The sequence below is a fragment of the Homo sapiens genome, chromosome 12 (genome assembly GCF_000001405.40).
Source record: "Homo sapiens chromosome 12, GRCh38.p14 Primary Assembly".
NCBI lineage: Eukaryota > Metazoa > Chordata > Mammalia > Primates > Hominidae > Homo > Homo sapiens.
Window position 1 is genome coordinate 119,412,180 of NC_000012.12, and position 22,334 is coordinate 119,434,513.

A 22,334-nucleotide genomic window follows, 5' to 3' on the forward strand; every position below is an offset into this window, starting at 1 on the left:
GCTTCATCCAGCCCCAAGCAGCTCTCCTGAATCTTGGCTCTTTTCTCTTTCACCAGTGGCTTAAGCTCAGCTCTGCTTCTGCTCTTCACATTAAAAAAAAAAAATGAGGTTAAAAGTTATTAGCCAATGGGAGGCTGTGTTTCTTTGGACCTTCAGGGGGTTCACTTGATTGTTGCAGAGATGTCAACTTTATCTTCTTCCAGGGAGAGAGAAAACGGATGGAAGCCACTTGGGGGCTTAACCACCAACACACATCCTTCTTATCAGGACATTGGCAATATGAAAGGATACTTTCTTAGGTCACTCTTTGTTTCATTTATCCAGGATGAATTGCCAAATAAATTTTTTCATTTCCAAGAAAGGAAGTAAACTGTGGTGTAATATGCAATAAACAGAGCCCTGCAGCCAACAGGATACGTTTAAACTTCTGGTTCTAGCCCTCACTCACTCGCTGGGTGACCTCTGGCAAGTTATTTAACTTCTCTGGGTCTCGGTTCTCTTAATCAGAAAATAGAGATAATCATGCTATCAACTTTTGGAGTGGCTGTGAATATTTAATGAGAAAAGACAGGTAAAGCCCCCCACCCCCCCCCACCCCCCCATGCAGGAATGGTAATGGGGCACATTGATGCTGCTGTTCCTTACTGGGTCTGTGGCAGACATTGCTAATCAATCACAGATACTTCTTCTGATAAGACTGGACTGGAGGACACTCCAGACAGAATGACTACTCGTGGGTAGATTGAAGCTAGCGCTCAGATTGGAGCCCATTTGCCATCTCAAGCCTCCCGCATTTCCAGACACGCCATTTGCAAGGTTCACGATACAGAATAGAGTGGTTGTCACATCCCGGGGCTCCTGTTTCCTGAAGCTCCTCCAGGACTTTGAACAGCAGCCGCTAGCCCATCGTACAGATTCCCATTAGCTCCCAGGGTCTGACAGCTGGACTGCTGGCCCCTCATACCTAGTCTTTCAAAAGAGCTTATGAGATTAATGCATTTGATTAATTTTTTTAACTGGGTGGATAACACATTGGCTGTTGGCATGCCAGCTCAGTCTCAGGGCTGCTGGGGGCTCATTGATGCTGGCAGCCAATTTCCATTTCAATCAAGTGAGAGAAGAGGGAGGCAGAGAAAGAGATTAAAAGAAACCAGGACTTGATTGAAAGCTATGGCATCTAGCGCCACCTACTGTTATATCGCTGCATCGCTACTTTTGCTGACCATCGGGTCACTGACAGTCTTGCTCGGCCCTTAAGGCATCGCGGGGGGAACATTTTCGTGATCTCACACAAGTTATATTTTTCATTCATAGCTCATAATTGATTCAATGTGTATAAACTACAGGTACTCCTGGTATAGTGAGAGTAATAGTGACATTTCCTTGGCTTGTTTTGGTTCACAAAGCCCTGTGTACCAAGTGGGCCTCTCAGCATCCTCATGGCCCCTGCATGAAGATTAGGCAGTGCCAGGTGGGAGCCCGGAGGTACACAAGAGATGACTTTCTTCGGGTCACGCAGGTGTGGTGCATGGAGAGGGGATTCCGACTCCACATTCTTTTCTCCTGAATCCGTCCCTTGTCCACCTCTGCTCCCCCAGCCCACCTTGGGGCCTGGCTCCTCAAGCCCCTCAGAGAGCAGTCCCCACTCCATATGTGCCAGTGCGTAATGGGGATTTTACTGAAGGGTTCACAGAAGAGAGGGAGAAGGTTACATTGCACCTCACACAGGAAAAAACAATAATACAGTCCTTTAGCTGCTTGTGGGTTCTTTTCTGGATGTCAGTTCCCCCTCCCTCACCTCTTCTCCCAGGCCCCCTCCTAACCCTGCACTGTCTATCACTCTGGTTTGCTTTTTTTTAGATGGTATCTCACTCTGTCACCCAGGCTGGAGTGCAGTGGTGCGATCTTGGCTAACCACAACCCCTGCCTCCTGGGTTCAAGCGATTCTTCTCCCTCAGCCTCCCAAGTAGCTGGGATTACAGGCACGCACCACCACACCCAGCTACTTCTTTTCTTTGTAGAAGAGAGGGGATTTCACCGTGTTGGCCAAGCCGGTCTCTAACTCCTGACCTCAAGAGATCTGCCTGCCGCAACCTCCCAAAGTGCTGGGATTACAGGTGTGAGCCACCACGCCCGGCCACTCTTGTCTTTATTAGCTGGAGCCATCCTCACTGTGTGTCTCCCTCAACCCTCTTCATACTCACCTTCCTTCTCAGCAAACCCTTCTTTAAAAACAGGAAGGATTTAAGAAAGAAAATAGTGGAATAATGTCTTTCCTTCCAGTTCAAAGGATGGGAAGACTGAATTTTCAGGGAGGCTTAATGGCTGAGGACTCAAGTTTTTTGTCTTGTTTTGGTTTTTGTTTTTATTTCATTTTGTTTTGTTTTTAGAGACAGAGTTTTACTCTGTTGCCCAGGCTGGAGTGCAATGGTGCAATCATAGCTCACCACAACCTCAAACTCTCGAGCTTAAGTGATCCTCCTGCCTCAGCCTCCTGAGTAGCAAGGGCTACAGGTGCATGCCACCATGTCCAGCTAATTGTTTTGTTTTTTGTAGAGAGAGAGGTCTCACTATGTTGCCCAGGCTGGTCTCAAACGCCTGGCCTCAACTGATCCATCTTGCCCTCCCAAAGTTCTGGGATTACAGGCATGAGCCACCACACCTGGCCTGAAACCTAGTTTTAAATGCAGGAAGACCAGGGTTCTCATCCTGGTTCTGACCACTGACCAATTGTGTAACCTTGAACAACTTCATCTATTCTTCCATTTCTCCTTCTGTAAAAGGGACAGTTATTTTTTAATAACCATCTCATTGGTTTGTTGGAAGAAGTAAATGAGATTGATAATGCAAAATGCTTAGCACAGTGCTGATGTGTAGCAATTCTTCAATAATTTGTCAGTTTCGGTGACTTAGCCTCACCTTTTTTTCCACTCACTGATTAAAGGGAGATTCCATTCACTTAGACTAAAATGCAAATAGTGTATCTCTCCAGAGTTGTGCAGCGTCCAACCTGTGCATCCTTATATGACAGCCTGCCAGGCTTACAGAGACCAAGGAATGCATCACAGCAAAGAGTTAAAGGATAAACCACAGCTAACAAATTGAAAGTGAACTGATAGCACAAAAGCATCCTAGGAAAAAAGGGCAGCAGGTGCAAAGACCCTGTGATCAGAATGAGCAAGACACTTAAGGGAGGCTCACTGGCTAGACCATAGAGATCAGGACAGTGGAGCAATGCAAGATCACACTGAAGGCAGGAGCTAGATCACAGAGCTGTGTAGTTCCCATCAAGGATTTTGGACTTTAGTCTAAAAACAATAAGGAAAATTTTAGGCAATGGAGTCATGGGATTGGGTGTGCATTTTGGAAGGGTCAGCTATGTGGACAATGGACAAGGAAAACAAGAATGGAGGAGAGAGGTCATCGGAGGCTGTGTCTGTTGTCCAGGTGGCTTGCAGCAGCGTGGGAATGACACTGGTGGGAAGACAATGGAGGGAAAAGACTGGAGAGCTCTCTAGGAAGCAAAGTCAACAACTTGGTAAATTAGCTCAGGGCTTAGTAAACTTTTTCTGGAAAGGGCCAGATGGTAACATTCTAGGCTGTGCAGCCTCTGAAATAACTACTAAACTTCGCTGTTATAACAGGAAAACATCCACAGACAGTAATAAGCACATGGGTGTGACTGTGCCCAATAAAACTGTAATATACAAAAGCCAGCTGCAGGCTGTAGTTTGCTGATCCCTGGATTAGATAAGGGGAGGGGAGGGTATCAAGGATTGGAGGGTACTGAGCTCTCCCACTTCCTGTCTCTGTGACCTTGAATAATTGACTTAACCTCTCAGATACTGGGTTTCCTTTCCAGGAAAACAGGAATAAGGATTCCTTATAGGGTTGGCATGAGGATTAAATAAGGCAGTGTTGGCGAGGCGTAGTGGTTCACGCCTGTAATCCCAGCATTCTAGGAGGCCAAGGCAGGCGGATCACCTGAGGTCAGGAGTTCGAGACCAGCCTGACCAACATGGAGAAACCCATCTCTACTAAAAATACAAATTAGCCGGGCGAGGTGTTGCATGCCTGTAATCCCAGCTACTCAGGAGGCTGAGGCAGGAGAATTGCTTGAACCCAGGAGGCAGAGGTTACAGTGAGCCGAGATCACACCATTGCACTCCAGCCTGGGAAACAAGAGCAAGACTCTGTCTCAAATAATAATGATAATAATAATAAGGCAGTGTCTGCTGTGGGACAAACAGGGAGGTCTCATTCATGAACACACTCCAGTGAGGAATATCCAGCTACATTCAAAATGGCCATCAAGGGTAGAAAATGAAGTTCTTTATTACTGAGGCCCTTACACAAAGAACAAATAGAACTTACACAGAAAAATTGGAATCTTTAGGAAGGGGAAAAAAATCCCTGCTGATTACAGCTTTCCTCACACAGCTCAATAGATTTTTTTTTACTTCAAAACAACTCTATAGGTGGGAAGAGGGCTCCAGCCTGAAGCAGGACTGAAGAACAGATAAATTGCATGGCATTAAATAGAATGCTTATTTTGCTGGTTATCTTTTTCTTTCAGGTGCCCTGAGTTTTTTCAAAAATTTCCCCACAAATCAAGGGTTGGGCCAGGATTTAGAATGGAGTCTTTATAAAGAGATTCCCGGCCGGTCGACGTGGCTCATGCCTGTAATCCCAGCACTTTGGGAGGCTGAGATGGGCAGATCACCTGAGGCCAGGAGTTTGAGACCAGCCTGACCAACATGGTGAAACCCCATCTATACAAAAAAATACAAAATTATTCGGGCATGGTGGCACATGCCTGTAATCCTAGCTACTTGGGAGGCTGAGGCAGGAGAATTGCTTAAACCTGGAGGCAGAAGTTGCAGTGAGCCAAGATCGCGCCATTGCACTCCAGCCTGGGCAACAAGAGCGAAACTCTGTCTAAAAAAAAGAAAAAAAGAACATTCCCACCCCTCCCCTCATCAAAGTTTAACTCAGTAGTGTTCTCAATTGAGGGTGATTCTGCTTCCCAGAGGACACTTGGCAATGTCTGGAGACATTTTTATTGTTGTAACTTGCAGGAGAGATGCTACATTGTATGATGTACAAGAAAATCCCCCACAACAAATAGCGATTTGGTCCCAAACTTCAGTCATCCTGAGGAAGAGAGATCTTGTTAACCAGCCTGGGATGTTGCCTGGAGGAGGAAATGGTTTATCTTTACTTTTTGGAATACATCAGCAAGATTTTTCTTTCTACCCCCCTTTTTCCTTTTTCTCTTACTTTATCTCTTTTATTGGCTTTTGGCTGACAGGCAGGCATACAATCCTCCTTCCCAGAGCACCCAATTTCCTTTTATGGAGTTACTTCTGCTCTATTAGATACAATCAGGCTCTGTCCCCCTAGTTATTTAACTAGTACCTGGTCCTGAGCAGGTGCATAGTGGCCCCAGAGAGCCCAGTAAAGGAAGTGGTTAAGGTGTGACCTTAATTAAGTCCTCAAGAAGAGGTACTGACATAGCCAGGGCCTCAACACTTAGCCAAAACAAACAAATCAACCAAAAAACTATGACAGGTGGTGACTTGTAGGTTCTGCTGGGCCACAATTTCTCCAGCCTCAGGGGCATGGGTCCTACCTTTGTTTCCCAACTTCATCCAAGCTCCCACCCTGAATGTCAGCAAGAAGCCCAGACCCTTCCTTTATTCCCAAAGCACGGCTTCCATAAGGCAGTCCTGCTTCACTGACATTTACGGAAGACCCAAGCAAATTAACTGCAGCAAAGGAAAACCTGAAACTGGGGTTTCAGTCACTTCATATTTTTTCCCTAACTTGTAAAAGATTGTAGAAGATTCCAAACCTACAGAAAGTTTGCAAAAATAGTACAACAGGCAGTCAAATACCCTTAACTTAAATTCACAATGTTATCTTTTTGTCATGTTTTTAACATGTTTCCATATTTTTCATATGTATGTATGTATGCATACATGTGTGTATATATGTATGTATGTACTATATATATAATATGTGTGTATATTTACAATTTTTTAAGCTGAGCCTCTTGAAAGTCAGTTACAGACACTTCACACCTAAACACTTCAGCATGTATTACCGAAGGACATTCTCCTTCATAGTCACAATACAGTTAACACAGAAATTTCACATTAACCCAGTGCTATTATCTTTTTCTTTCTTTTTCCTTTTCTTTCTTTCTTTTTTTTTTTTTTTTTTTTTTTTTTTTTTTTTTTTTTTTTTTTTTGAGATGGGGTCTCACTCTGTTCCCCAGGCTGGAGTGCAGTGGCGCAATCTCAGTTCACTGCAGCCTCTGCCTCCTGGGGTCAAGTGATTCTCCTGCCTCAGCCTCCTGAGTAGCTGGGACTACAGGTGCACGCCACCACGCCCAGCTAATTTTTGTATTTTCAATAGAGACAGGATTTCACCATGTTGGTCAGGCTGGTCTCCAACTCCTGACCTCAGGTGATCCACCCACCTCAACCTCCCAAAGTGCTGGGATTACAGGCGTGAGCCCCAATGCTGTTATCTAACATAAAGTTCATGTGCAGATGTCCCTAGTTATCCCAGTCATGCCCTTTATAGCCTTGTCTCCAGTCCAGCATTCAATCAAGGGACCATGCATTTCATTTAGTTGTTGTGTCCCCTTGGTGTCCTAGAGAAACAGATCTTCTGCCTTCTTCCTCTTTTATGACATTGTTAGAATACAAAGAGGTGTATCCCTTGGACTTCTCTCCAAGAAAGAACTTGCCAGCAGGCGGCACAGGTAGCTGAGACTCTCCAGCTGTTGACACCGCCAGCATCCACAGCAGCTTTCATGCAGCGGAAGTCAGAAGCTTCCCCAGAAATTCCCCATCAGTGGGCACTGGCCATTTCTGCCTTGTGCTTGGGCTCAATCAAGCAATCTTTGCTCTGGATCTCCCTGTTGCATTGGCTGGACTCTGTCAGATCTGCATCATGGTCTAGGGCTCCCCTGCCAAATCCCACTTCCTCCTCCTTTTCTCTTTCATGGGCTTACCCGCAATGAGCATTTTGTAGTCCTTTCTCCGTGTCTGCTTCCCAGAGGCCCCAACAGACACAGACATTGACATCTTTTAAGAGTCCAGATCACCTATTTTGTAAAATGACCTTCACTTTTTATTTTTCTGATTGCTTTCTCATGATTAGATTCAGATTGGACCTCTGGGGCAGGACATGTATGTAGGTGATGTAACCATGTAGGCGATGCTGTGCCCTTCCCAGTGCATCACTTCAGGTTCACCTGATAAGAGTTTGTCCTGTCATTGGTGATGCTAAGCATAGCCATGATGGTTAAAGTGGTGTCCGCCAGACCTCACCGTTATATGGGTATCTCGTTTCCTTTGTAACGAATCATTAACCTGTGGGGTTAAACCTTGAGACTGTGATGCATTCATCTTCTCATTCATTCAGCAATGACAGAAAGAATGCAGAGCCAGGCCCTGTACCATGTGCTGAGTATCAGAAGCTTCCTTCCCAGGGATCATTGTTCCTTCTCCTCTTCTTCCCAGAGGACTCCTGCTGCTTTGTCTCCCCTAAGTTCTCAGTAGAGGACTTGCTCGTCTCCCCAGATGACAGTCTCTCCTTCTACCACCTCTCCCTGACAATCAAAATTTCCTATAAAAGATGCAACCTGTCTTCAACAAGGAGAGATGTTAAATAATTCTTTTTTTTTTTTTTTTTTTTTTTGGAGACAGAGTCTCGCTCTGTCGCCCCAGGCTGGAGTGCAGTGGCACGATCTCGGCTCACTGCAACCTCCGCCTCCTGGGTTCACGCCATTCTCCTGCCTCAGCCTCCCGAGTAGCTGGGACTACAGGCACCCACCACCACACCTGGGTAATTTTTTGTATTTTTAGTAGAGATAGGGTTTCACCGTGTTAGCCGGGATGGTCTCGAACTCCTGACCTCGTGATCCACCCGCCTCGGCCTCCCAAAGTGCTGAGATTACAGGTATAAGCCACCATGCCCGGCCTGTTAAGTAATTCTATAGTATATTTCCTATTTCAGTTTGAAGGATCTGTGTGTGGATGAGGTCACTAATTCTGGGTATCTCTATGTGGGTAGGTACACATCTTACATTCTTATGACAAAAAAAATACCTCACTCTCCCCAAAAGGAACTGCCTATCAACACCATAAAACCACCAAAATGGAGTATTATTCAGCTACAAAAAAAAGAGTGAGATCCAGTTATTTGCAACAACATGGATGGAACTGGAGATCATTATGTTAAGTGTGTTAAGTGAAACAAGCCAGACACAGAAAGACAAACATCACATGTTCTCACTTATTTGTGGGATCTACAAATCAAAACAATTGAACTAATGGACATAGGTAGTAGAAGGATGGTTATTAGAGGCTGGGAAGGATAGTGGGGGATGGGGGGCAGAAGGTGGGAATGGCTAACGGGTACCAAAAAAATAGAAAGAATGAATAAGACCTGCTATTTGATAGCACAACAGGTTGACTATAGTCAATAATAACTCACTTTTTAAATGACTAAGAGTATAATTGGATTGTTTGTAACTCAAAGGATAAATGCTTGAGGGGATAGATGCCCCATTCTCCATGATGTGCTTATTTCACATTACATGCCTGTATCAAAACAACTCATGTATTCCGTAAATATATGCACTTATTATGTACCCACAAAAATAAAAAATAAAATATTAAAACCACCAAAAACTTAAACATCCGTGTGCAAGCTAAGGTCTCCGGGTTCATGTGTGTACTCCTGCCATGATCCCGCCTACTCTGTTCTTTACAGCTTCTCCATAATGAGTCTGAAATTTGTTAATCAGCAAGCTCGCTTCTCAGTGCTGTCTTTTCAGCCTCCCTTCCCCGCTCACCCCTCGACGGAGCATCCCAGCTGTTTCCCTGATGTCTGTATCAGCCCGGGCACATTTAACAGGAATTCACTTCCATCTTCATCTTATTCTAGGAAGTAGATCATGTTTTAAGGAATAACAAAGATGAGTTCAGAACATTCTTTCATAAAACACAGAGAACAACAGATATTTAGAAAATTGGCTTTCCGGCCATGACCTCCAACAAATCATTCTGATTTTCTGCCATATTAAATTCTTTATGATGAAATCTAACAAAATTCAGTGGAAGAGTTTTGGAGGTAGTATCTGTAAATCAATAGCTAGCAACCGCTACCCCTCAGGTAGTTCCCACTATGCAAAATAGGGCAAAGTGGGATGGGGGTGCAGAATGGAGTAGTGAATAAGAACACAGTCGTCAATGTCACTTGACCATGAGTTCAAATCCAGGCTTTGCCACTTAATAGCAAGTCAGTTTCACCTTTTTAAGCCTCTATTTGCTGTCCTATAGAATGGGAATAATAATATGGCAAGGACTCAATGGACTCATCTATTTCATATAAGAATGCACTTGGGACAGTGCAGAGCACATAGGAGATTGGCATTAGTCCCATTTCACAGATGGGGATTGGCATTAGTTCTGGTAGGACTGGCATTAGTTCCATTTCACAGATGGGGAAACTGAGACTGGGGAGTAAAGTTACCTCACTCAAGGTCACTGAACTCCTGAGTGACAGGGCCAGGACTCAAACCTAGGTCTTTCTGACAGCAAACGTCTTTCCATCCATTCTTGCCACACTTCACTTCTCAGCTGTCAGGTTAAACCACACCACTTCCCGATGCTACTATTTAAACAGCCCCAGCACATGAATATTAAATGTGAGTATATCTGCCAAGAAAACCATCCCCATCTAAGAGTCCACTGTTAGTCCATGCGTGCTCCATCCCTCCCAGAACCCCACCTCCATTTACCACCTTTTAACCTGGTACATTACACGACATCACATGGTGTTTCTGACGATCTTGCTCTCAAAAACTCATTGGGTCGATAAGAGAAAGGATGCTGTTCACACATGCTGTAGGAAAGGTGGGCAGGGCAGAGACTTGACTTTGTTTTCTAGGAAACAAAGAACGGAGTCATCACCGGTGCTCTGCAGAGCAATGGAAACACTGAAAGCTCTGAAGCCAATGGCACATCCAAGGGAAGCAAAGACAGAAAATCAAAATCAACTGTCCCCAAGATGGCTTTTATGCAACCAGGTTGGGAGTCATCACAGAGCACCAAACAAAGGATATCTGCAGAGACGGTGTATTAGTCCATTCTCACACTGCTCCAAAGAAATACCTGAGACTGGGTAATTTATACAGAAAAGAGGTTTAATTGGCTCACAGTTTCGCAGGCTGCACAGGAAGCATGATGCTGGCATCTGGTCCTGGGGAGGCCTCAGGGAGCTTTTACTCATGGCAGAAGGCAAAGTGTGAGCAGGCGTCTTACATGGCAGGAGCAGGACCAAGAGGGAGATGGGGGAGGTGCCACAAACTTTTAAACAACCAGATCTCACAAGAAATCACTATTGAAAGGACAGCACCAAGGGGGCATGGTGTTAACCCATGAGAAACCACCCCCATGATCCAATCACCTCCCACAAGGACCCACCTCCAGCATTAGGAATTACATTTCAACATGAGATTTGGGTGGAGACACAGATCCAAACCGTATCAGATGGTGATGGGGTTTTGCTTGGTTTTTATTTTCTCCTAATTTTTTTTATCTTTTCCTGATTTTCTATTAGGTTGGTGCAAAACTAATTACGGTTTTTGCCATTTTAATGGCAAATGAATTTTCGGCATTCATTCAATGGCAAGTGAATTTCAATGGCAAAAACTGCAATTACTTTTGCACCAACACAACATAACACAATGTTCATTAATGTCAAAACCAGATTAAAATATTAAATATGAGGTTGTATTACAAATATGTTACCGGGGTAGGGAGACACATGAATGAGTGTCAGCAAGGAGTATAAAGACCTAACAGTATGGGAAGTAGAGCAGGTAAGTTTTGATGGGAAGGGAGTTGATCTACAAAGATCTGGAGAAATTTGGAGAAGTAGGAGGGTTCTGAATACCCTAGAATCGTGATTTATGACAATTTTTGGGGGGGCGAGGCGCATGACCACAATTCTGGATATGCATTTTAGCCATGGAAAACTCTGGGAACCTCAGGCATAAGATCAAAAGGAGTATCCAAAGTTATCATCTGTAAAGGGATCCTTGATTAACTTAAGGGGAGGACCTGCTTTATAGTCCCAAAGTGGCCTGGGGCCAAGACATTTGCATAAGGTGTACCCATAATTACTTGCTTTCACTCTCATTTCCATTTCCTGCTCCCACCGGGGGCTGATCCTTGCAAACTACATTTCCCAGGGGCCCTTGCAGCTGGCTTCCAAGTAGGTTCAGCCAATAGCAGGCACCATCAGGAACTGAAGGGTGAGAGTTAAGCAGAAGCCAGGGCATTTCATCCCTTCTCTCATTCGGCTTATGGTGGCACCTCTAGCTAAAACTACATCTCCTCCATGAGTCTAGCTTATGCCAAGTGGCCCTATTCCAGGGCTTCTGAAGGCCACCTCTTCTTCCCTTAATTCCTCCAGCCCTGGAGATGGTAGAGGTTTCCTTTTGCTAATCTCTAGCTTGCCTCATCATTCCTTATGTGACTTTTGAGCTCTTCCAGCACCTTTGTAACCACTCCCCTGTATTAAATTCCCTTTGTTGAACTACCTGTCATGAGTTCTGATTTCCTGCCTAGACCCTGCCTGATCCAGTATGTTAAAATAAACTATTAGCTTACATCATTCCAGACTCTTAGATGACTCAATTTAAATTGGCATTAAACATTTCTACTTTGCCTGCCTTGAGAGAATTAGTCAAAATTGCTTTACAAACATGAAAAACGCTATTATTTTATTAAAATTAATCTATGTGAATTGTAGAAAAATTAGGAAAAAAGATAACCAAAACAAAAAATTATCGTTTAATTGCCTATAATTCAAATGCCCTGAGATAACATCTCTATTAACAATTTATTGTATTTACTTCCAGCTTGTTATATTAGTACATATATGCCTTGTCATATGTCAATATTTTAAAACCTAATTTGTATCAGATCACATACATTTCTGGAAATGTCTATAGATTTTATAAGCATAAATCTTAGAGCTTCTCTATGATCTACTATCTTTACGTTTTGTAGCATGCATTTTCATCTGAAATTACATTCCATTACCACCTTTCCACATTAGTGAATAAACAGCCATAGCAGCACTAAGTGGTAGCACCAAGACTCAAATGCATCACATACCACTGTCTGGATAGACCATGATTTATCCCCACAATGCCTATGGTGGGACATTTAGGTATTTTTCACTATTATTCACACTGCTGTGATAAACATCCTCGGGGATAAATCTCTTCATCCTGGCGACATAATTTCCTTGGCTGGGGCAAGAGGATATGTATTTCTAAAGCTTGTCACACATATGTCTAAATTGCCCTCTAGAAAGGTTGTAGAGAGAGTGATTTTTGAATGTTTTATAAACTTTTTAATCTACTATTTAACTTATTTAACTTATTAACTTTTAATTTAACTTATTATTTTTCACTTAATATCAAATGATGTTTGTAAATGTCCTGAGAACTAGTTATTTCTGCTGGCTTATTATAATTTTAATTAAACAAAACTATAATTATAAAGTTATAATCATAAACCTACCTTTATAATTATAAAATTATACTTTGACAGAAATGGTTTCCTGAGAATCCATTGAAATGCTGACATAGTTGTGAGGCTTGGGGGTGCGTGCATCTCATGCTGCTAAAGTCGGTGTCAAGTTGAGGACGCAATTCAGTACCAATCCCAGTCAATACAAATCCACTCTTACACAATGATGTGAATTCCTGGTGCACAGGCAGCTATCATTAGGTGACATTTGAAAAAAAAAATGCTTGAATGTTGGACATTATCATAGTTGTTTCATGAAGAAGGTAAAATTTAGGATGTTTAGGAGAGTGGTACAGACATGACCGTGGCATAAAACAGGGTTTCAATCATGTGTTTTCAAATTATCTGGCAGGAAAATTTCTGATGTGCTTATTTTTCCTTCATTTATAAATATGCTTAGTTCACAGCATCTTTTTGGAAAGTTACTTTGGGCCTGCAGGAAATATATAATGAGGTTCTCCAAAATAAGTGGGATTAGAAAGACAGGCAACCTTGTTTTCAAATATTTGATCTCAACATGGCCAATCTCATTGCTTTCACTATAAAATACACCAGAATGGGGGTCATCTGATCTTGATACCTCAAAAGCAGTGTTGGGAAAAGAAAAAGAACTAGTTAAAAGAAGTCTCAGTCTCTTAGCTGTTTTGCCACTCCCAAGAGAGGGATGTATTTCAGATAGAATTTTGTGGCTGCAGGTAACAGAAAACCTAATTTAAGCTGTTATAAATAATAAAGGAAATGTTCATGAAAAGTCAAGATTCCAGTGAAGCTTGATCAGTTCAACAAGGCACCGTGGAACGAGTTTTTCTCTGACTCTCTTCTCTGCCTTTCCTCCATATCATCTTTGCCCAAGGCTGGCTACCCTCATGGGCACGAAATGGCTGCAAGCAACTCGCAGGGGCTCTCTGCTTCCCCATTTCTAGTCAGTAAGGAAAGAGAACATCTCTGCCTGTGCTTCTCAGAAGCCCCTAGAAAATGCTTGCATCTCATTTGCCCAAACTGGGTCACATGACCATCCATAAACTAACCACTTTGACAGGGGATGGTTTGTGCTGTTTGGCTTCAGTCATTCAGGGCCTCCCCTGCTGCTGGTAACCATGAGCATCTCCCAAGATGCAAGTGCTGAGTGAAGGAAAGGCAAAGGGCCTAACCAGGGAACTAACTGGTATCAACAGGGAGGGTGAACAGATGTTGTATGTGTGAGACAAACGAATGTTCATTATGCAAAAGCATGGGAAAGTACTCCTAGAGTTCCTTACATGCCTCATCAGAGGGTGGTCTCTCCACCCGCTTCACCCATCCCTCAAGATGAACACTGATGGGTCTGCCATCAATTTCCAGCCAAGGGGTTGAGGCCCCCTGGTATACTGAAATGAGCAAGATAAAGTACCTGTAATTCATTACTAAGAATAGCCAAAGAGACAGTTTTTAAATTATTTCATTGTTTCCTATCCAATTGGCCTGATTCAAAGCCATCCATATGTTTTGTTTTGTTTTGCATCCTTTATGTTTTGCTTTCTTTTCTTTTTTCTTTTATTTTTATTTATTTTTGTTTTGTTTTGTTTTTTTGAGAGAGGGTCTCGCTCTGTCACCAGGCTGCACTGCAGTGGCGCGATCTCAGGTGACAGCAGCCTTGACCTCTTGGGCTCAAGCGATCCTCCTACCTCAGCTTCCTGAGCAGCTGGGATTACAGGCATGCACCACACATGCTTGGCTAATTTTTTTGTATTTTTTGTAGAGACAGGGTTTTGTCATGTTGCCCTGTCTGGTCTCAAATTCCTGAGCTCAAGCCATCCTCCCGCCTCAACCTCCCAAAATCCTAGGATTACGGACATGAGCCACTGCGCCTGGCCCCACTTTGTCAAGTGGGCAAGTAATAGCTGCAGTTACAAATACTTTGTAGAATTGCCATAGACTCTTCACCCTTCATCTGTGCTGCCTTACATGGGAACATGTATTGGCCAACCCAGGAGAAAAATGGAATCAAGCAGGCCAGAAGCAGTTCCTTCCTCCACTTCATCTCCCACTCTGCCTCCCACCCAACTCTTCCACAAGCATCATTCAACTTTGAAACAACAATGCTTTTCAACTTTCACTTTACACTTCAAAGCCTCAGAGCAGTAGGCACCATAGCCCAATTTCATTGATGGTGACTGCAGAGAAAACACTTTGCCTCCTCCCACACATCAATATTGGGATTTCTGTTAGTGAGCAGCCAACCTGTTCTCACCCTGCCTTCAAAAAACACTCTCAGTACAATACTACCAACCAGCCTTTGTCAAATTTCACTTTGCTGTTTACTTTTTAAATCTTTTCTCTTTCATTATGTAACTAATTAATATTTATTGCAAAGTTATAGGAAATGCACATCAGCTAAGAAAAAGAAATAAAACCTGCCATAATCTCACCCCCAGAGAAAATCACTGCATTTTGGAGCTATGTCATTTCATATCTTTGATATGTGTATATCCACACAGATCATTTTTCAAAAACCAAAATAGAATCATGCTATAAATATTACTTTGTAACATGTCTTTTGACTCAAAAAAATCAAACATCTTTATATATCAATAAACATACTTACATTATGTTGCCGTTATACTTAATTGCTGCATTGTATTCCATTGTGTAGATACACCATAATTATTTAACCTGTCTTCTATTGTGAGATGTAAAGTTGTTTTCCAATAGTTTGCTATTACAAGCAGCATGCTGGTGAACAGTTTTGTTGATGAATCTCTATGTCCATGAAAGGATATTTCCTTAGGATTCTTGACAGCAGAGTTGTTGGATCTAAGGACATGCTCATTTCTAAAGCATCTGGTATGCATTGAGAATTGCCCTTCTGAAATGCCAGCACAAAGTATTTACCAGATTTATCTGAGAGCACCCATTTTCCCATAATTTCTAAGTATTTTTTTATTTAAAAAAAATCCTAAGGTGCAGGAAAATTTCAAGACAAGATAATCTAGGTAATATTCTGATTATTGTTTCTCCAAACTGCAGGTTGAGAAAAATGACTTTTATACTAAAATATAATTTGCCAAGTATGATGGCTTGAACCTGTAATCCTAACCTTACTTGGGAGACTGAAGCAAGAGGATCACTTGGGCCGAGGAGCTCGAGGCTGCAGTGAGCTGCACTCCAGCCTCAGTGACAGTGTGATCCTGTCTCTAAAAAAAATAAATAAAAATATAATATAGTTAATTTATCTCTCTTCTTTATATTGAGCATGTATCAACTTCTGAGTAATGTGAGATTTCCCCTAGGTATAGACAAGGCAAATTAATAGGGAGAAAGAAAAACCCACGAACAATTATCTGGATAATTCATTCATAAACCTCCGCTATGGGAGCAGGAAGAGAGGGGAAGTACATTTGCATCTTTACATTGACAAGATTCAGCTCTCCAAATCAACTGCTAAAACCACCAATAATAATTATTTTTAATGCCTAATTTTTTGCTCTAAAGTGTAATGCTTATAGTAGTAGCTTCCATTTATCTAATGCTTGCTATCAGTGAGGAATTTAGCAATTAATTTAATCCTCAGAACAGAGTAGGAGTGATTCCCCATTCTACTGAAGAAATTGAGGCCCAAATTCTTCAGAGAGGTTGAGTAATTTGTTCAAGGTCACACAGCTGGTCACCAGACAGAACCAGGGTCAGGGCTCAGGTCCATCTGTCTCCAAAACCCTTACCATGTCCACTGTATCACACAGCAGCCCCCTCTTTGGTGTCAAGGTAGACTCTGTGCTGCCCAGGACTCCTTAAACCTAGCCATACATCTCAGAGAAACCCATGAGCCTCCTGTGCCTATCTCCATTTGGAAGCATTGTATTAACACTCCTTTTATTTTAACCCCTTGTCTTCTCATCAGGTCCCAGACAAGCCAATGAAGAGCATCAAGTATATGGACAAGGAAATAATAAACCTCAAAAAGGACCTTATACGAAGCCGGTGAGTGAGCCCAGCAGGGAATGATCCATAGACAACCCAACAGGCATGAGCAGGCTATGGGGTGTTGCCTACAAGTCCTTGCCCAGTCCCAGCATCCCCCAATTCTGAACACTAAGCAGAAGACTTACAGGAGGGTAACCCTGGGAGGAGCAGAGGGCAGGATCGCTTTCTCAGCTGGACTTTCCAGGGAGTACCCATGCCATGCCAGCCTCCAGCCGCCTAGAATTCCCTCTGCTTTTCTTCCTGGACCTGAATCCAACTCAAGAGAGTGTCCCCATGCTCCAGAAAACCTTCCCTTTTTTACTCCAGACACACGTGATGATACCGTGGAGTCAGAGTCGTTCTCAAATTCTGGTCCTGTTACCTGCTAGCTGGGATGCTGGAGGAGTTATTTAAACTCTCTGGGACTCTTTTTCCCTATCTGTAAAATGAGAATAATAGGAGGTTGTTAGAAGAACCGAGGGAAATAAAGCAGATAAAGTGTCCCTCATATGGCCTTGAATACAGGGCTGTTCCTATCTTTCCTCTCCTCACTCCCTATTCCTTTCCTCCCTGATGACTGAGGCCCAGGACCATGTTTCAGCCATCTCTGTCTAGTGAGATGGAATTTTTTTCCCTTACCCCTTAACTGTTTCCTGAGACCTGGAACATCCCAAGGTAGGATCCTAAAATGAGACTTTTGGTAAAGCAACTCAAGACAGAGTAAGAGATGAAGACTCTTTTAGCACAAAACACGTAAGATGTGTGCTGAGAGGGGTAATCTAGGTAGCGGGGAAGTTCTATTGATCTTAGACATCTCCCACTCTGAGCCAGATGCAGTGAGAGGCAAAGTGAGACACCCTCTCCCTTCACCTCCATCTTCTGAAAGCCACCCTTCTCCACCACTACCGGAATCTCCACCCTGCCCCATCCAGCAGCACAACTTCATGGAACTGATGACTGAGCCCAGGAGGACTCCTGGAAGGTAGAGGAAGGGAAAGGAGTTAAAGGGCCTAGGGGAGAGGTGAAGAGAGTGCCCCACTGACTGCAGGGGGTGGCTGTGTCAGCTATTGGAGGGTCTCTAGACACTGTCTAGTGAAATATAATTTGAGCCTTGTGTGTAATTTTAAGCTTCTGAGTAGCCACACTAGAAAAAGTAAATAGAAACAGGTGAAAGTAATTCTAATAATATTTTTAACTCAGTACCTCCAAAATATTATCATTCAACATGTAATCAGTATTAAAAATGTATTGATGAGATGCTTTTCATTATGTTTTTTCATACATGATGAAAAGTAATGAAGGGATGAAAAATAATGAATGATGAAAGATCTGGGATGTATTTCATACTTAGAACACGTGTCAATTTGCACCAGTAACATTTCAAGTGCCCAGTAATTGTCATGGACTAAATTGTGCCCCTGCCACACATACACACACACACACACACACACACACACATACACACACACACACATATTAATATGTTGAAACCCTAAGCCCCAATGTAATTTTTTTGGAGATACAACCGTTAAAGAAACAAGTAAGGCTAAAAGAAGTCAAAGGGTGGAGCCTTAATCCAATGTGATTGGTGAAAGAGGAAGCGACATCAGGCATAAGCACACAGAGAAAAGGTCACATGAGACTGGGTGTGGTGGCTCAAGCCTGTAATCCCAGCACTTTGGGAGGCCAAGGCAGGCGGATCACAAGGTCAGGAAATCGAGACCATCCTGGCTAACATGGTACAACCCTGTCTCTACTAAAAATATAAAAAAATTAGCCGGGCATGGTGGTGGGCGCCTGTAGTCCCAGCTACTCGGGAGGCTGAGGCAGGAGAATAGTGTGAACCCAGGAGGCGGAACTTGCTTTGAGCCGAGATCATGCCACTGCACTCCAGCCTGGGCAACACAGCAAGACTCTGTCTCCAAAAAAAAAAAAAAGTCACATGAGTCACATGAGGACATAGCAGGAACTCAGCCATCTGCAAGCCTAGGAGAGAGACCTCAGGAGAAACCGACCCTGCTGGCACCTGCACCTTCAGCTTCCAGCCTCTAGAACTGTGAGAAAATATATGTCTGTTGTTTAAGCTGCTCAGGGTGTGGTATTCTGTTAGGGCGGCTCCAGCAGACTAATACGTAAGAGACAATACATAAGAGTCAATGCTGGGATGTTCTTGCAGAGAATGATCCAGCTCAAAGAGGCCAGCAGGGCTCAGTCTCATATTCCTTTGCAGAGCTGAGCTCAAAGGCAGCATTTGAACTTGGATCTCCAAATTGAGGGCCTAGAGCCACAAGGATCCTCTGTTAGTTTCAGACATACTGGCCTCTCTGTAACTGCCCAGTGGATTCACCTTACCCGAATTTGTAACTGCCCAGTGGGTTCACCTTGCCTGCTGCCTAGACAGAGCCAATTTATCAAGACAGGGGAATTGCAATAGAGAAAGAGTAATTCACGCAGAGCCGGCTGTGTGAGAGATTAAAGTTTTATTATAACTGAAATCAGTATCCCCGAGCATAAGGGAGTCAGAGTTTTTAAGGATAATTTGGAGGGTGGAGGAAGGCCAGTGAGTCAGGAGTGCTGATTGGCTGGGTCAGAGATGAAATCACAGGGAACTGAAGCTATTCTCTTGTGCTGAGTCAGTTCTTGGGTGGGGACCACAAGATTAGATGAGCCAGTTTATCTGTCTGCATGGTGCCAGCTGATCCATCAAGTACAGGGTCCGCAAAATATCTCAAGCACTGATCTTAGAAGCGGTTTAGGGAGGGTCAGAATCTTGCAGTCTCCAGCTGCATGACTCCTAAACCATAATTTCTAATCTTCTGGCTAGTTTTTTAGTCCTACAAAGACAATCTAGTCCCCAGGCAAAAAGGAGGTTTGTTTTGAGAGAGGGCTGTTATCGTCATTGTTTTTTGTTTTTCTGTGTTTGTGTTTGTTTGTTTGTTTGTTTTTTGTTTTGAGACAGAGTCTCGCTCTGTTGCCCAGGCTGGCGTGCAGTGGCACAGTCTCAGCTCACTGCAACCTCCGCCTCCCGGGTTCACGCCATTCTCCTGCCTCAGCCTCCTGAGTAGCTGGGACTACAGGAGCCCACCACCACGCCTGGCTAATTTTTTTGTATTTTTAGTAGAGACGGAGTTTCACCACGTTAGCCAGGATGATCTCGATCTCCTGACCTGGTGATCTGCCCGCCTCGGCCTCCCAAAGTGCTGGGATTACAGGTGTAAGCCACCATGCCCGGCCCTTTGTTTTTAAACCATAAACTAAGTTCCTCCAAAGTTAGTTCAGCTTACGCCCAGGAATGAACAATGACAGCTTGGAGGTTAGAAGCAAGATGGAGTTCGTTAAAAGTCAGATATCTTTCATTGTCTGTTACAATTTTGCAATGACAGTTTCATCTACAGTGTTTGAACCCAAGTTAGAGGGCTTTTGAGGCTGATGCCTTGGGAACCTTGGAGCCCCAGGGACTGGTGACATGTAGGATCAAGAAGCCAAGAGCCATCTGAGTAGGGACAGCAACTGTGGCAGGCAGCTGAGAAAGAAGATGGCATGGCGAGGGATGAGCCTCCCAAAAGGGAATTGCACTCTGTTCCACAGCTTTGCCCAGAGATGTTCCAGGCTTCACAAGGAATGGTGCAGCAGGGACGTTGGATCAGAAGAGAGGTTCCAAATACAGAATTTCATGGGCATCAATCAGTCATAACAGACACTGGCCATACCCAACCATCATGACCATGTTAGTTCTTACTAGCTGAGTATTATCAGCCTTCAGGTAGATGAGGCCAACTAAGAGCCCCAGATGCAAAGACATGTCAGAATCTCTAGAGCCTGAGGAATGAGGGTCTCCACAAGAATCTGTACACTGTAGACAAATGGCTGTTGATGAGATAGACGCCAATAGATGCCTTGACCTAGACTTGACTCAGCCTAAGGAGGGCGACAAAGCAGTGGCTTGCCAGCTTGTAACTAGAGCCCACTGCTAAATTTTCAGTGGAAAATTATTGAACCAATTATTAAACACAGCTATTGTTAAAGATTAATTATATAAATGTATATCTATAATTGCAAACCGATCGTTAAACACAGCTATTATTAGAAATTAATTACATGAATTTACAATTAAGTACAATTAAATAAATTCTATTAAAGCACAGGTAATAAATACTTAGAACTCATACCTTCCTAATTGTTTTATACAGTTTGCTAATCTCTATGCCCTAGAGGCTATCAATGGTTGTAGTATCTATGTGGTGGAAATAGTATATAAGGAGTGCTACAACAAATCTCTTCCCAGCTCTGTGTTCACTGACGTCACCACTTTGGTAGCTCGAAAGCAACTGGTGGGAATATCTGCACCACGGTGACAATATTTGCACCGTGGAAATCAGCAAACACTACAAATCAGGGCTCAGTTCCCCCGACAGAGAGTTGTTAAACATTCACCAGCACACCACGGGGGACGTGCCCCAAGAACGACAAAGGTTCCACTTCCCACAGACCCAGTAGAATAGAGGGGATTAATTATTAATAAAAGGTGATACAGGCAACAGTTGTTCTGCCACTCTTCAGTTGGTCAGCTGAGTCTGTCACTCCCAACAGACGCATTAAATGTTAAAGCTGAGATTTAACGTTCTGCTCGGACACCCTTAGCCTCTCCCACTGCCGGACACAAAGGAGAATGGGGAAAAGGCCAAACAGAGAAGCCACAAGCAAGCAAGAAAGAAACGACAATGAGATGTTCCATCTGGCCACACTTCTGGATCCCACCAACATTAAGGAAGGAATCAGGATTCCCCTTCAGAAGGAAACACCATGTTTTCCAAGGGAAGTCATCTCTCCAAGTGGCACAAACTCCCTGACCCCATATCCCAGTATTAAATGAGGCGAATTGTTAACAAAGATGATGTTGACTTTTCCATCCATTGTTTCTTAACTTTGTTTCCCCTCCTGTTGGAGACTAGCTCACCTTGAGCCAAACTATTTTACTGTCTCTTGGATTTTTGTTTAATATTTTAGCCCTCTTGTAATTCAATGGCACCGTCCCTGGTTTCATGGCCAATTTAACCTGATGCTAAAAAGAATAAGATTCTAACTGCTTTCCTCCTCGCCTGTTCCGTCAGATGTTCAGTGGCACTAAGCAGCACCCTAGGCACAAACTTGGTGAATTTCTAGCGGAAGTTGACAATCAGGGTCTCTTTGCATGTGCCCAGTTCTTGGCTGACTCTTGAAGTGCGATGACGTACCTTCCTGCAAAGGTGCCAGCGCTTTTTATTGTGAATGTTTTAAGGAAAATAAACATCTCTGCAGTGAAAACAACTGCAATGTTGAACATGAAGCCGTGATTGGCAAAGTTTAGTTAGGTCCAGGCAATTGCAAATAAACAATGATGAATTATCCACTCTCCCCTACCCCCAGCAGGGTCCAGGTGATGCACGTGTTTAAGGGGTCTGAGACTTTGCTTTCCAGCTGTGTTTGGTAGACAGCTGAAGCAAAGTAATTAGAAATAACAAAGGTGGAATTTGGGGCAGAGAAAGAAGCTATTCTTTTTTTTTGGCAGGGGGGTTAGGCACTTCTTCTTGGTACTTCTTTAGCCCTCTGTACTCATTCATTTTTTTTTGACAAATGTTTATTGAGTATGAGATATCACCAGGTGTACACCAGGCATTGCTGTATATATTGGAGATGAACAAAACAGACAAGACTCCTGTCTTTGATGAATAAGAGATGACGACTTGCATTATAATGAGGTAAAAACAACAATCAAATTAACAAGTAAAT

At 43.3% G+C, this 22,334-nt stretch overlaps 1 protein-coding gene and 1 long non-coding RNA gene across 9 annotated transcripts in view, besides 2 other annotated features; one reads left to right on the forward strand and one right to left on the reverse strand.

Annotated features, from left to right (window-relative positions):
• CCDC60 (coiled-coil domain containing 60) overlaps positions 1 to 22,334 on the forward strand; it is a 206,312-nt gene that overhangs the window by 77,451 nt on the left and 106,527 nt on the right. For all 5 annotated transcript variants that reach the window (NM_178499.5, XM_017018912.3, XM_017018913.3 and 2 more), the window contains exon 2: positions 16,504 to 16,583. In NM_178499.5, the coding sequence (NP_848594.2) occupies positions 16,504 to 16,583 (80 nt within the window). The remainder of the gene's footprint in view (positions 1 to 16,503; positions 16,584 to 22,334) is intronic.
• The window catches only part of PRKAB1-AS1 (PRKAB1, TMEM233 and CCDC60 antisense RNA 1), a 280,141-nt gene that overhangs the window by 24,193 nt on the left and 233,614 nt on the right, over positions 1 to 22,334 (reverse strand). The gene's annotated exons all lie outside the window — the stretch shown is intronic.
• Positions 11,036 to 11,556: an enhancer, noted in NCBI's record as "NANOG hESC enhancer chr12:119861020-119861540 (GRCh37/hg19 assembly coordinates)". NCBI's record gives its function as "activates a minimal SCP1, AML or CMV promoter by ChIP-STARR-seq in primed H9 embryonic stem cells {active_cell/tissue: H9 hESC(primed)}" and the evidence as "EXISTENCE:reporter gene assay evidence [ECO:0000049][PMID:30033119]".
• Positions 11,145 to 11,439: an enhancer, noted in NCBI's record as "tiled region #763; HepG2 Activating non-DNase unmatched - State 24:Quies, and K562 Activating non-DNase unmatched - State 24:Quies". NCBI's record gives its function as "activates a minimal TATA promoter and a strong SV40 promoter by Sharpr-MPRA in HepG2 and K562 cells {active_cell/tissue: HepG2 | K562}" and the evidence as "EXISTENCE:reporter gene assay evidence [ECO:0000049][PMID:27701403]".